The 14,832-nt window shown below is 38.7% G+C and overlaps 1 protein-coding gene across 22 annotated transcripts in view, besides 1 other annotated feature; it reads right to left on the bottom strand.

Annotated features, from left to right (window-relative positions):
* L3MBTL3 (L3MBTL histone methyl-lysine binding protein 3) overlaps nt 1,286–14,832 on the bottom strand; it is a 122,858-nt gene continuing 109,311 nt past the window's right edge. For all 22 annotated transcript variants that reach the window (XM_047419407.1, XM_011536184.3, XM_047419410.1 and 19 more), the window contains 3 exons: nt 9,103–9,272; nt 8,819–8,881; nt 1,286–3,114 (listed from right to left, as the gene is read on the bottom strand). In XM_047419407.1, the coding sequence (XP_047275363.1) occupies nt 2,971–3,114; nt 8,819–8,881; nt 9,103–9,272 (377 nt within the window). In that variant the 3' untranslated portion in view covers nt 1,286–2,970. The remainder of the gene's footprint in view (nt 3,115–8,818; nt 8,882–9,102; nt 9,273–14,832) is intronic.
* Nucleotides 3,885–4,154: an enhancer, noted in NCBI's record as "active region_25055". NCBI's record gives its function as "activates an Ori minimal core promoter by ATAC-STARR-seq in GM12878 lymphoblastoid cells {active_cell/tissue: GM12878}" and the evidence as "EXISTENCE:reporter gene assay evidence [ECO:0000049][PMID:35858748]".

The raw sequence follows: 14,832 nt of genomic DNA, 5'->3' as shown, positions 1-14,832 counted from the left end.
TTGGCTCCAAGCATGACACAGACATGGGCTGACCTTGAAGGTAGATTCAAGCCCATTTTATTGTCTTTCTCAATGGTGTATCTATCCCCAGTGCCCAGCACATCCTGACACTTGCTAAATTCAACACTGCTTGACCAACATACCCTATTTTATTTAGGGGCTGAGTCTACTGAATCTAGAAGTTGCAGAATGGCAGCCTGAGGACAAATATCAACCTGCACAAAGGTTGTATTTGGCTTGCGCAGTGTTTTCAATTTTTTAAAAAAAATGCCTTTAGATGGGAAGGTCCTATCAAGGTCTATATTTTCTATTCCTCCCTTTTCTCTCTTTTATTTTTATTTTTTTGAGATGGGGTCTTGCTATGTTGCCCAGGCTGGTCTCGAAATCCTTGGGCTCAAGAGATCCTCCTGCCTCAGCCTCCTGAGTAGCTGGGATTACAGGGTTGAGCCACTGAGCTTGGCTTCCACCGTCTGTCTTACCCCAAGCCTGCATCTCTCACTTCAGAGATCTCCCTACAATCATGGTGCCCTATATTCTCTGTTAAAACTTAGACTATATCCCAGGGATGGAGTGGTGAGAGTTTTCACCTTCTTGAGGTACAGTGAATTCCTCACCACCCTACAGATGCTTAATGCCTTGCCTCTAACATGTAACAACATGTTGCATAGAATGAGTGGATGTCTTCAATAAGATTTTAAAAATTGCCCGGGAGTGGTGGCTCATGCCTGTAATCCCAGCACTTTGGGAGGCTGAGGCAGGCAGATGACCTGAGGTCAGGAGTTCAAGACCAGCCTGGCCAACACGGCAAAACCCCATCTCTACTAAAAATACCAAAATTAGCCAGCCGTGGTGGCGGGTACCTGTAATCCCAGCTACTCAGGAGGCTGAGGCAGGAGAATCACTTGAACCCAGGAGGCAGAGGTTGCAGTGAGCCGACAGTGCACCACTGCACTCCAGCCTGGGGGACAGAGAGAGACTCTGTCTCCAAAAAAAAAAAAAAAAAAAAAAAAAGAAGAAGATGTTTAAAATCTCATGATTTAAACTATGCTTTAGTTCTATGCTTTACACTTGAAAAAAATTCCCAATGGGGATGAATTGGACTTGACCTAACAATATAATCTTTCAATATTTTTGTCATCATCTTGGGACACAGTTTGACAATTCTGAATCCTACAGATTCATTACATAGCTAGTAATGTCCAAATACTTGATGCTCTTCCTGTTCTTGTTCTGCCTCTCCTATTTGAGAAGCTTTCTTAAAAATCATACATATGTAAAAAGCATCTGTAATTAAGATTTTATTTCATTCATGTCAGATATAACAAGTACAACTTGAATGTACAAATTCTGAACAAAACATAAAAAAGAAAAAACAGCAACAAAAAACTTATTTAAGCAGATTCATGCAAATAAATGACTGGGACACTGCAGATGTCACTGACCCTGTTTTACCTTGAATTGGCAAATGCAAAGGACTGCTAATGGACTTCCAACAGGGATATCAAAGGAAGTCCTACATCATAAAAAACGAAAGCAACTAAAGAAGAGGTGGAACTTACCCCAGAATTCAGACAGCATGCTACAAACTTACTTTCTATTTTTAAAATAGTCCTTGAATAAATATCCAATCCTGGAATCAGAAAGTACATCAAAAGACGGACAAAATAATTTACCTTTTGCCTTAGAAATGCATTCTTGCAAAAGAAACACTACCAGCTATCAATTTATAATCAAGGGTTTTCATTTAAAGTGCATCTGTATGCTTATATATCGAGGCAAAGTATTCTACAGAAAAAGGAATCCTTCCAAAACGGAGGTTCTTGGGCAATTACTTTGGGAAATCACCTCCCTGATCTGTGAGCATTTCAAATTTTGTGTCAACTGAAGTTGCTCCTTCACACCTTGTCTTTTCAGCAAAATCACAATACTCGCTCTCTAGCCAACCCTGAAAAAAACCTTTGGGTTTGGAGGACAATGCATGACCTGAGACAGCGCTCTGTACAGATTAGTGTTTCTGTTGACAGAATGAGCTCTTAGTCTCTGTAAACCACCACAATTTCATCAATGAAAATTAGAAGCTCAAGATCATCTCATAAATAGTTCAAGACCCTCACAAACATTCCCCCCAACCATAACTGCATACAACTGCGTACTCCTCTGACACCATCTGGCTCTTGTAAACACCGGGGCACCAAGATGAGTGAGACTGATGCCACTCAAAATACACTACCTAATTTATTTATGTTTATATATTTTATTTTTCAATTTCATTCTTTTATATACATGTTTTTGGTAATTATAGTAAAGATGCTGGTGAAAAGTAATTTGTTTAACATTTCATAATGCGTGCAAAAGGAAAAATACTGATTCAAAGAAAAGTCATTCTTACAACTATTCAGCCCTGACAATTATGACAAGCAGTTAGGCAATATCATGACTTGCAAAGTTATACTTAGCATAATGTTGCAATTCAAAATATGGCACAAAATTAACAATACAGATAACAGTCCTACTGGCTAAACTTAGCCAGGTTTCGACTAATTTGGTTTAAATTGAAATTTGATTATATAAAAAGGTTTCTGAAAGTATTGAAAAAGAAACAGTGTACATGAAAGAGAATTCAACAATGTTTACAAAATGCCAAAAGTTCTTACTCTGCCCCCCATTACCATAAATAATTAATGAAGCCCCCCTTCCCCCCACCCCCCAGACTCAAAAAGATTTACAAAGATAAATTTAGCTCAGTGAACAGAACCAAAAGATGACTGTTGTTAGACAGTACCTGGTTAAAAGCTCAAGCACTTTCATAAGAATTCATATATATTGTCTCTTGAGTAATATAAATAATCCGATAGTGTTGCTCTTTTGAGTTTTGGAGACTTCTCACTTAGGAGTTATAACCGTCCTTGTGCTTTGAATAAAACATGAGCTTTAAAGCAGAATGCTGATGGTATTCAGAATTCACCATCTTCAAAGTTCATTGTGAGAATTCTTCTCTGCAGCTTTGAACATCAGGATGGAATTGAAAATTTTGAGAGCAGGGCCCAGTTTAATGCTCATAATTTTAACAATGTCTGTTTGAGTCATAAGTAGAAATGCTTCTCCATCAATTTGCTAAAATGGGGGAAAAAAACAACAGAATGTGGATTAACAAGATGCAGTGTTGTAGAAAATATTCAAGGTTAAATTACCAGCTGTCTTCTACATAGCAATGCTAAAAAAGCACAGAGAAGTTCACGTGTGCAATGACATTTCTTGATATATGGACCTTTCTTATCCACAATGACACATCCCAAAGTGGACTGGGAACAAAGTAAACTAATTCACCTGAAAAACCAGCCAAAGGAAAACAGAAGGTGCCCATATCTTCCTGTGATTACTCTGAATTAGTTGTAGAGTTAAGAAGAATATGGAAAAATCCAGGATGCCCAAAGTCTAGTTTTTATCATGGCAGGTTTTAAAATTAGAAGAGATAACAGGTACATGAATGTTTGTGGACATAAAATAACTCAGGCAAACATATCAGCTACATGCAACATTTTTTTTTTTTCCAGAATTAGCCTTCCACCATGAAGAAAAGAAAATCAGAAAGATAACACTTATCTCTAGTGTGGCCACAGTTAAGTCTTTACACACAGAAGAAAAGCATTTACTAACGGGGCAATCAAACAGTGAATGTGAGGCTGGTGTTACGAGTCACTGACTTTAAGGTGGTTCTTCTAATACGCAGGTAGGGTAACTATGAGAAAGACCCTTCCTCTCTCTGGACATCTTCTAAGACAAAAGTCTATGCTTCTGAAAAATAGGCTACTATTCTCTAGAAGTTCAAAGGTACAACACATCTTTTAGGTTAAAAGATAAAATACTATGAAAATGATGTCTGGCTTACTGGGCAGAGCAAAGAAACAGTCTTTCATTATGACTTTCAGCTCTTCTATCACCTTAAAAAAAAAAAGTTTCCCTTTCAGTTTTCCCACCTTGTACAAAAAGTAAAACACACTTTTGTTCTCTGCCTTAGAACATCAGAAACCTTGACAGCAACGCACTCCGTTATGGGTTGAATGGTGTCCCTGTCACAAAAATTCGTATATTGATGTCCTGACTCCCAGTACCTCAGAATGTGACTTTTATTTGGAAATAGGGTCAGTGCAGAGGTAACTGGTTAAGATGAGGTCACACTGGAGTAGGGTGGGTGCCTAATCCAATTATGACTGGTATCCTCATAAAAAGGAGAGATCTGGAGAAAGAGACACATATAGAGGGAAGGCAACGTAAAGACCCAAAGAGAGACCACCATCTACAAGTCACATCTACAAGTCAAGGAGAGAGGCCCAGGACAGATTCTTTCCTCACAGCCCTCGGGAGGAAGCAACCCTGCCAACCCCCTGACTTCTAGCCTTCTTCAGATTCTCAGCTTCTAGAACTGTGAGACGATGCATTTCTGCCATTTAAGCCACCCGTTTGTGGTTGGCATTGTTATGGTGGCCCTAGCAAACTAAGACAACTCTAAATTCTGCAAACAGTTCTCTAAACAAGGCTGATATAATTAAATTGCTACTTCTTAAGATTTTCCTCTCTCCTTTAAAAATGAAAGACCTGTAAATATAGACTGCCTAAATGCTTCATCAGTAAGAACTGGAGTCATCTTACACAACTTCTTCAAGTAACAATTATGTGGAAAAAGTGTGCTAATTTCAGTAAAAAGACATCCTGCTGTTGTAAACTAGAAGGAAAGACGTTCCAGTGTTAATCTCCAAGTGTAGCACCGTTAAGCGGCAGGTATGAGAAATGTTCTCCTGTTTTCTGGAAACATTGGTCTGTTCTCATTTGCTTGTGCTATGACAGTCCTCTGATAAAGCAAGGTCAGGAAGAAAGGCAGATCTATTAACACTTCGCTCAACCAAGGCAGACCTTAGTACAATGGACAGCCTTATAGAAGTCTTCTAAGTCATTAATGAAAATGTCAACTGACATTCCCAAGGAGCCCACTACAAAGGCTGACTGGTTTATTACAACCTTGGCCCTACTGAAGGCCTGGCGCAGACAGCAAGTCTCCTTCTGAAACTATGTAAGAGTATAACACAACAGGTAACTGATGAAAAAAAAAAACATCCAGAGAACTTAGTGGCTGGGATTTGAAGTTAAAAGTGGGACAGTAAGGATACATTTTGGTAGGTTGTTATTTATAAGGTTACATACACTAGAAAGAAAAAAAATCTTGAGGCTACTTCCAAACTCTTTATTACATACAGGTTGCTCTGACATGTGGCCATACAAACAAGTCTTGATTGGAAGGAAGTCAACTTAATTCAGGAAAGTACATCCTAAGAACAACAGTGACCACTGCAATGTATTACAAGGCTTACTTTTTTTTCGGTTAGCTTCTGCAATGCATATACAATGCCATTATTCCAGACATTAGGTGTCTTGCTAATGGCCTAAAACAAAGGAGAGGGATTTGGAATTCAGGAGCTCTGGCCTTCCATTTCACTGCCCTTTCCACTATTCACTATTTGTTCTTTTCCAATGCCTTAACTCGAAACCACAGTGACATGCTCTGTCTGAGTGAGTCTTTCTCAGAGTGTAAAGGCATGAATGTATTCACTCAACAAAAATATACTGAATGTCTATTATATTCCAAACACTCTTCTTGGGCTTAGACATATAGCAGGGAATAAAACAAATAAAACCAAGCAAGCAAAAAACTTTTTGTGGAATTTACATTCTAGAAGTGGTAGACAGACCATAAGCCAATAAACATACTAAGTAAGCCAATTAATTAGTAAGTTAGAAAGTGACTCATGTTGGCCAGGAGCAGCGGCTCATGAGTGTAATTGCAGCACTTTGGGAGGCTGAAGTCAGTGGATCACTTGAGGTCAGGAGTTCAAGACCAGTGTGGCCAATATGGTGAAACCACATCTCTACTAAAAATACAAAAATTAGCCGGGTGTGGTGGCACGCACCTGCAGTCCCAGCTACTTGGGAGGCTGAAGCATGAGAATAGCTTGAACCTGGGAGGCAGAGGTTGCAGTGAGCTAATATTGTGCCACTACACTCCAGCCTGGGCGACAGAGTGAGGCTCTGTCTCAAAAAAAAAAGGTGATTTGTGCTATGATTAAACAGAGCTGACTAGGAAGATGAATGGGCAGCAGGAGCAGGGATGCATGTGTGGTGACAAGAGGCAATTTCAAGTAAGAAAGTCAGGGCAGGACTAATTGGCAAGCTGGCATCTGAGCAGAAGAAGTGAGCCACATGAACATCTGGAGGAAGAGTGTTCTGTGCAGAAGGAGGAGCGGGAGCAAGCCTGGACAATCAGAGGAAGAGCAAGGAGGCCAGCACGTAGACTCGTGAGGGGCAGTGTAAACAAAAAGCCAGGGGGCAAGAGAGGTAATGAGGTGTCAGACTGCAGGCCCTTGTAAGGACTTCTGCTTTTACTCTGATTGAGAGATGAAGCTATTGGAAGGACCTGAACAGAGGAGTGACATGGTTTGACTTATGTTTCAGCAGGGTAACCTTGGCTGTGCTGGGAATAGACTGTAGAGGAGCAAAAACAGAAGCAGGAAAATGAGTTTGGAGGTTACTGCACTAATCCAAGTGGGAGAGGATGGTGGCGCAGACCAGGGTGGTGGTGGCAGTAGGGTGATAAGGGTTTTACATGTTTCAAAGATACACCCAATAGGATTTTCAACAGATGAGATGTGGCATGTGTAAGAGAGAAGTCAAGGATAATTTCCAACAACAGCCTATCTGAATACTTGTCCTTTGCCTTTTAAAGATGATTTATAAGACTTCGGTTAGATTTGTACTATGGTTTACTTGTAGGACTCAAAACCCAAACCCACTGACCTTGTGAGACACTTGAGAACAAGGACTAGGTTTCATTATTTTCGAATCATCCTTCTCACAAGAGCATGACACAAAGTAACATACTCATGGTCGGAATTTAACAAATGTGCACAAGATGAATGAATGAAGGAGTAAATGAATGAATAATTCATATCGACAGAGAATATTAACTATCTCACTCCTCCAGAAAAGGATCTAGCTTTGAGCATATTTGGTAACTGAGGAACATCTCCAAAGACAATCTGCCATGAATAAAAAAAATTACTCAAAAAATAGCATCTCATTTTGAATTTAAACTTGAATCTTACTCAAACTGAATAATAGAGCAAACCTATAGGGATTATCTAGATAACAACAGAATAAAAAAACAGAAGTTATAAAAGAGATGCATTATAAATTTATTTTCAAAAATGCTTTATTATTTTCAAAGGTAATGACAACATGACATTTTCCAAGACAGACCAACAGCTCCCTATGTGGCTCTAAGTCTGCTCAGCGATACAGAATGAATTCAGGCTGGGCACGGTGGCTCACGTCTGTAATCTCAGCACTTTGGGAGGCCGAGGTGGGCAGATCACCTGAGGTCAGGAGTTCGAGACCAGCCTGGCCAACACGGTGAAACCAAGTCTCTACTAAAAATACAAAAAAAATTAGCCGAGCGTGGTGGCGGGCACCTGTAATCCCAGCTACTCAGGTGGCTGAGGCAGGAGAATCGCCTCTGCCAGGAGGCGGAGGTTGCAGTGAGCACTCTAGCCCAGGAGAGAAGAGCAAGACTCCATCTCGATTTAAAAAAAAAAAAAAAAAAAAGGAAAAAACAGAAAATGAATTGAGAGTATCAGTGAAGACACTCAGGACTTAGGGAAAGAAAATCTGAATAACTGCCAATTAAAGATCAAACAGAGAGAAAATAAAACCTTTGCACAATAAGAACATAAATCAGAAAAAGGATGTTGGAAATCAGATCCTTGTGCATTTTAACAAGCTTTCATCTAACGCATAAATTATACCTAACAGTATAACAACACTGACAACTGGTGGCTGGATTGTTAGCTGTGTCTATACTCCTGCAATGAAATGGAAAGTGTGCTGTTCTTAACAGTTGAGCTTTACACATAGGGGCAAACAAGTTGTGTATGCGTGTAACTGTAGACAGCAGATGTTGGAGAGCACCTTCTGAGATTACTCAGTCTACTTTCTGCCTTCTGGCAGGAGTAGACACAGCCAAAATCAGAGGGGTAATTGACTGCTTTGCTTGGAGGAGATGACAGGCAAGTGGCTTATTTTTAAAGGTCTCTACTGAAAAGGGTCTCCTGCTGTACGCTTACAGAATTAAAAGTTAGAAACCAGATTCCTTTTTATTCTAGTGCTCACTGTAAGTGATATCATTCTTAATCACCCCTTATATTGAAGTTTTGGAGAGGGAGTTGAAAACAACTAATAAAATAATCTTCCAAAAGTGGACTGTGATAAATATCTTATTATAAACATTATTGAGGAATGTATATGACTTAAGGGATTTTTTTAGACATAATGCTAATATTACTTATTATAAACCTCAAATGGAGTCAATCATGGTGTTGTTAGAATGACACTGGAAAATAAAATAATGGAAACTAATTTCACTTTATTAAAAAGAGAAAATGTTGCTTCTTTCTTTCTTTGGCTTCCTCTGTGCTATAAACTATATAAATGCATGCTATTAAGTTCTGTGGGTTTTCTTTTTATAAGGAGCCTAGTGTTACTGCTGTGGGGTATCATAAAATGGTACTCACAAACATTCTTATGCATCTCATCTTATACAAAGACATTTTTATACAACTGATTCATACTGCCTGTTAGTATACATCAATTTGTCAATTTCAACACACCCCATCTCTTTTTGACTCTGCCAATTCCACACATTTCACCTTCCACTGCATTTCAGTGCTTTGATCCCATTAAGTAACATATTGCAATTTAGTGGAATACTTACTTCATCTTTAAATACCTTTCCATGTTCTTCACACCCAGGTAAGCTCTGTATAAATTCTGACACCTGTCAAAAGCAATATCAAAATTCCCAGTTAAAAAACACAGTCAGAATCTAAATGCTACAGGTTCAAAACATTTAACCCATATGCATTAGTTATTTCTCTCACAATAATTTCTTCTCTTTCAGAAAAAAAAAGACTAAACGCTACCTACGCTCAATGTTCCACACCTCTTAAGCCAGTAATCCTGTATCTGGTGTCGGGCAGCAAAGAAAATAAAATATACCTCGTCTGTGCTCCATTTGGAAACTTTACTGGCAGGGATTCCTGCGACAGTTGGAAGAAGTTTGCTTTGCTGCTCCCAGCGCAAGGGCAGACATGGAATTGGGGACTTAAAGGACAGAAAGACAGCTGACCGACGCTGTGCCTGCTGGACGGTGGGTTCTTCCCGGGCACCTGGTCAATGAAAACAAATGGGAAATCACTCTCTGAAAGCAGCAAGAAAGCCCCAAATGCCGTGCATCTCCCAGATAACGAGACTGGAGGTGGGAGTGGTTAAAGCATTGGTTCCTTTCAGCATTATACTATTGAATAGGCTCTTCTTTGTCTTTACTGAAGGTCACTATAAAAAACAACCTGTAAATTCAACTGATATCATTTGCTACAGCACTCATTACTAAAGACATGCTTCATTATGTTGTTCAACGTTGTCTCTTTAATGCTTCAGATAAGAAACGTGCCTCAAAGTTTTAATGGGAAGGAAAGTTAGTCTTATTCTAGGAAGTTGTTTATTTGCTCCCCTTTCTGCTTTGGATGTTGTAAAGGTAACAGCCAAGTTGCATCTCACGTCTAACACCTGTGCTTACCATGTATTCACAGTTGGCATACTTTCTCTCTCCTTTTGTCTCAGGGCTTGGTTTGGTTTTTTAACTTCTTATTTACTAATCATACTGATTTTTTAAATAGCCAATTCAATTTTTTGACAGGGATATGAAATTATTGCAATAAAAATAAAACAGCAGAAATGCAAATGTTTTTGTAATTTTTTACTTGTTCAGATCAAAATTAAAACTACTAAATATTCTTACTGTAGCCTGGGCAACAAGACAAGGTCCCATCTCTTGAAAGAAAAAAAAAAACCCTACTGAATATTCTATTTATGTTAGAGCTTCTGAACCCAAAGCTAGTTTTATGGCTGCTTTCCTAAAACGGCCATTCTCTAGCAAAGGATTTTTGTCCTCTGGACGCTTGACTTAGAGCTGTCAATCGTCGTCTCCTTATGGTCCTTTAGAACAGAAACCTTTTCTGAAAACTCTGTATTCAAAGCACCTCAGAAGAAAGGCACCTCCCATACATTTCCTCTCTGCTCACACACCAGCTCAGTTACAAGGACACCTCAATTCTATCACAAAGCCTTGCTTTTATATCTCTAAGATCTACAGAAAGACACAGAAATCACTAAGTGTAAAGTTCACTGAATTTTCACAAAGTGAACACACCCATGTAACCAACACCCTGACTGAAAACAAAACGTGGCCAGCACACCCTTCCAATCGCACCTCATCTGTCAAGGGTGACCACTTCCTTGACTACTAACACCATAGATTCATTTACCCTTTTTTGAATTGTATTTAAAATGGAAACTTGGGTATCTGGCTTCTTTCTCTAAACAGCATGTTTCTGAGATTCATCCACATTGTTGTGAGTAGTAGAAGTTACCTTCTCTTTCTTGTATGGTTTTTGTGGCTGTGAATACTCTATAATTTATTTGGAGATCATGAACAATGAGCATCTGAGTTGTTTTTAATTTGGTGCTATTACAAACAGTGCTATTACAAACATTCTTGTACAGATTATTTTGTCAGAGGCGTTTGAACCAGAGCAACTCCATCTTGAGCAGGAGCTGGGTAAAATGAGGCTGATACCTACTGGGTCTGAGACAACTGCATTCCCAGATGGTTAAGGCATTCTAAGTCACAGGATGAGCTAGGAGATGTGGACAAGATACAGGTCATAAAGACCTTGCTGATAAAACAGACTGCAGTAAAGAAGCCAGACAAAACCCACCAAAACCAAGTGACCTCTGGTCGTCCTCACTGCTACACTCTCACCAGCGCCAGGACAGTTTACAATTGTCATGTCAACATCAGGAAGTTACCCTATACAGTCTAAAAAGGGGAGGCACAAATAATCCACCCCCTGTTTAGCATATCATCAAGAAATAACCACAAAAATGGGCAACCATTTGGAGTAGTCATTCTTTATTCCTTTCCTTTCCTAATACACTTTTGCATCCTCACTTCACTCTCTGGACTTGCCCCAAATTCTTTCTTGCGCGAGACCCAAGAATCCTCTCCTGGGGTCTGGACTGCGACCCTTTCCTGGTAACAATTTCTTGAATGTACGTATGTGTTTCCATTGCACATATACCAAAGAGTGAAACTCTGAGGTCGCAGCATGTGTGTACATTAAGCTTTGGTAAATCCTGTCAGCTTTCCAAAACAACTGCAGAATACCTACCAACAGCATATGACAGTTCCAATTGCTTCACCTCCACACCAATGCTTGGTATTGTCTATCTTTTTCTTTTTAACCGTTTAGTGGGTGTATAGTGGTATCACATTATGGTTACAAATGCATTCCATGATTAATGATAATCTTTCCCTATGTTTATTGTCCACATAGAGAGGCTCTTTTGTAAAGGGCTTATTTCTACTAGACAAATTTCCAATAGATAAATTTGGTTAAGAAATGACTTCTTTACAATATTGAGTCTTCCAATCCATGAAGAAGCTAAATCCCTCAATTTCTTTGGCTCTTCTTTAATATCTCTCATTAATATTTTGTCATTTTCAGGTAGAGATCTTGCACATCTTTTGTTAAATTTATTCCTATGTATCAGATGTTTCCTGAGGCTGTTATAAGTGGTAAATTTTTAAAAAATTTATTTCTTATTGTTCTGTTACAGTTTTCTAATAAGTTTATTCTTAAACTAGCCTAATCCAAAATTTGAATTGCTCTGAATGCTAGAAAGTCACTATGCTGAGTCAAAAATCTATTTTACTGGAGTTGACACCCACTGGTTCTGGTACTACCTCATTGAGCTTATACAGAAAAATTCTAGTGTCTGCTCCACATGAAACATTTCAAATCTTCAAATATGTTTTAAAAAGCCATCATTATCCCTCTTTCCACATTTCATCCAATCAACCTCAAAGGTGCAGGTCCTCATCCCATTTTATTGAATATCTATTATGAACCAAATACATAAAGCAGAAAGTTTGTTTTTATTCTCTTTTTCTTTTTGAATTGCCCAGATTTAAGGAATTTTTGTGTAGCAAAATACGGAGTAACTTAAAAACATCTTTTTAATCTCAGGTATTCTAAAGAGCTTAGCTATTATTTGAAATACAATATTTGTACATATTTTATAAGACAGCTTTATATGAAATGGTAAGATTTCCAATTCTACACTACAGTAATACCATAGGGCTGACTTTATAATTTGTATCCTGAGTGCATGCCATATAATTAGTCTTTTCCAAAGCCATAGTCTTTATCCTATTACTGTTTATGTTCTATTAACACTCAGCACTGTTCATTCTATCACTGCAGACCTACTCTTCCATTTTATTTTCTGCTAAAAGCTGTATTAGTCACAATTCATTTCTAATGTTCCGCACATTGTTCCTTAGAAAAATAACTAACCCATTCTAAGGAAATGACTAAAAACACCAAAGCCCTTATGTCTGTGGTTGCCTCTGCATGTCTTTAAGCCTGATACGATAAATAGGCCTAGATATACATACTCTTCCAATCCTAGTACCAACTCTGCCTCCTTCGCATTAAGACTTTCCTTCCTTTTGCTGAGTCTTCCTCGCTAACTGATGTTATCTGCCACACAGCATGCCACCTCCTATGATTTTAATCCAAAAGGAATAAAGAAAGCAGCTTCATTTGAGCAAATTTGTACTGCATTCCTTGAATTGCAAAGAAAAGTGACTCCAGGTTTTTGTTTTAACATGTTATGACATAGGCTAAAATAAATGCAAATAGACTCTGGCTCCAGTAGGTGGTTCAGTGCCAAGAGTAAGGAAGAGTAGGTTTAAATGTGCACAGTATGCCTCGGGAAACAGAGCCTCGTGTTCTAAAGACATTTCAGCCACCTCCCTTTGCCTGGGACCCTATTTCGTACCACTCTCCTCTCAAACCATTGACATGCATGGAAAAGAAAATTTTTAAGAAGTTTTCTATATTTCTGAAGTTTTCTGTGATGAAAATTGACCAAAGGTATGTGATCAAACTCTTTTCTCACTTGCCCCACTTGGTTTCGGGTTGTGTGCTTCCACAGTGAGTAAAAAATATTTTAGGCTGACTGCGAATAACTAAAATTACCATATGGAAGGAATGGTCATCCTTCCTGATTCTTGATTCAACAATCTGATAAATTTTATTTGTAGAACCAAAGCTGTCATCCTCAACAGTGGAAAGATAAGAATTAAGAGAAAAGTGACAGTACATTAAAATGGACACAGTATACTGCAGAGAAAAATAATAATATTCATTATGTTTATGAACAAATTAATCTATTCAGTCTAATGTTTAATCAAATAATCACTACTTTTAAAAAATTTTCTCAGTGAGGCCTATACATATGTATGAGAAAGAGACAGACACTAAAGACCTCTAGTCATGAATAAGAGGCATAAAGACCAATGTTTTGTTGAAAAAAAGATAAAAAGATTTTTGTGTGCCAAATTTGAAGATCCAAATCTACCTACAAGTCAGACAGGACCAGCTGAAAAGTAGCTTCCAGTCTTAGAACACAGCACCACCAATATCCCTGGCCCTACACACCATGAGATATTGCACGGTATAAGGAATGTACTGTTAGGATCTCTTTTATACTCAAATTTCAAACATTCACTGGCAAAGCCCCAGTAAGAGGTGCCTCTACCGACCCTGCACCTGTGCACCTCCAACAGGGTCAGCAGATGCTCTCTGGATAGATCGGATGGATGGCACCTTCCAGCGAGATAAAAGAATGTCTCCCATTCTTATCTTCATCATGCACTGGTATGCTAAAGAAACCACAAAACACTCCAAGGAGCAGCTTTGGGCAAAAGTCTTTTCTCTCACCTGGAAAAGATTCCTTCTGAGTTATCATCCACTGACTCCACAATTCCAAGTTTAGAAGTTCATCTTAAGAAAATAATGAAGCACGAACGCTAACAATCATCTCAAAGTCAGTTACAGTGGAGGGTCTCTGGTACGTATGTAACTGTACTGAGATGAAGACTATATTCCCCAGCTTCCTTTTCAGCTAAAAGTGGCCATATGACTAACGGACATAAGCAGAAGTGGAATCTACAACATCCTGTGAGTTCTGCTAATTGGACTTGGAAGTGCTCTTAAAGGCTGACAGCACACCCACCACCACTCCCCCAATATGTCCCTCCTTCCTGCTGGGTAGAATAGTACTTTAATGGCTAGCCTTCCAGCAACCACCTCTAACCATGATATGGTGTTGGGAATACGTGCTCTGCAAGGCAGAGCAGCAAGATAAATGGAATCTGATTTCCTGACACTGTTAAGTACCATTTAAATCCTGGACCAAGCTCTGTACTTCCTTTATGTGGAAGAGAAATAAGCCTCTTTTACCTTACATAAGCCACTTTATGTGTTTTATATTACACACACACACACCCCCCTAACCCTAATCACTACTAAAGTTTACTGCAAAAACATTTATAACAGTCAGAAATACAAAATAACTAGCCTAGATAACCCAACAGTAGGGGATTGGTTTGTTAAGTGATGCTACATCCATCCACAGAGAGAATATTTAACATTATGTTGCAAGAAGTATAAATACTTATGCAAACTGCAGGTTACAAAGTATTTTGTACACTTCAGATAGAAACAGTCTAAAAAAGTAGGTCCCCACATTCAGAAAATGGTATAAAATTACACATAATTTTGATTTTCTCCATTTTGCTTCCCTGTATTTGCTAAT

Source organism: Homo sapiens, chromosome 6, assembly GCF_000001405.40.
Source record: "Homo sapiens chromosome 6, GRCh38.p14 Primary Assembly".
NCBI lineage: Eukaryota > Metazoa > Chordata > Mammalia > Primates > Hominidae > Homo > Homo sapiens.
Note: the sequence above shows the minus strand (reverse complement) of the source record. Positions and strands in the feature narration are given on the sequence as shown.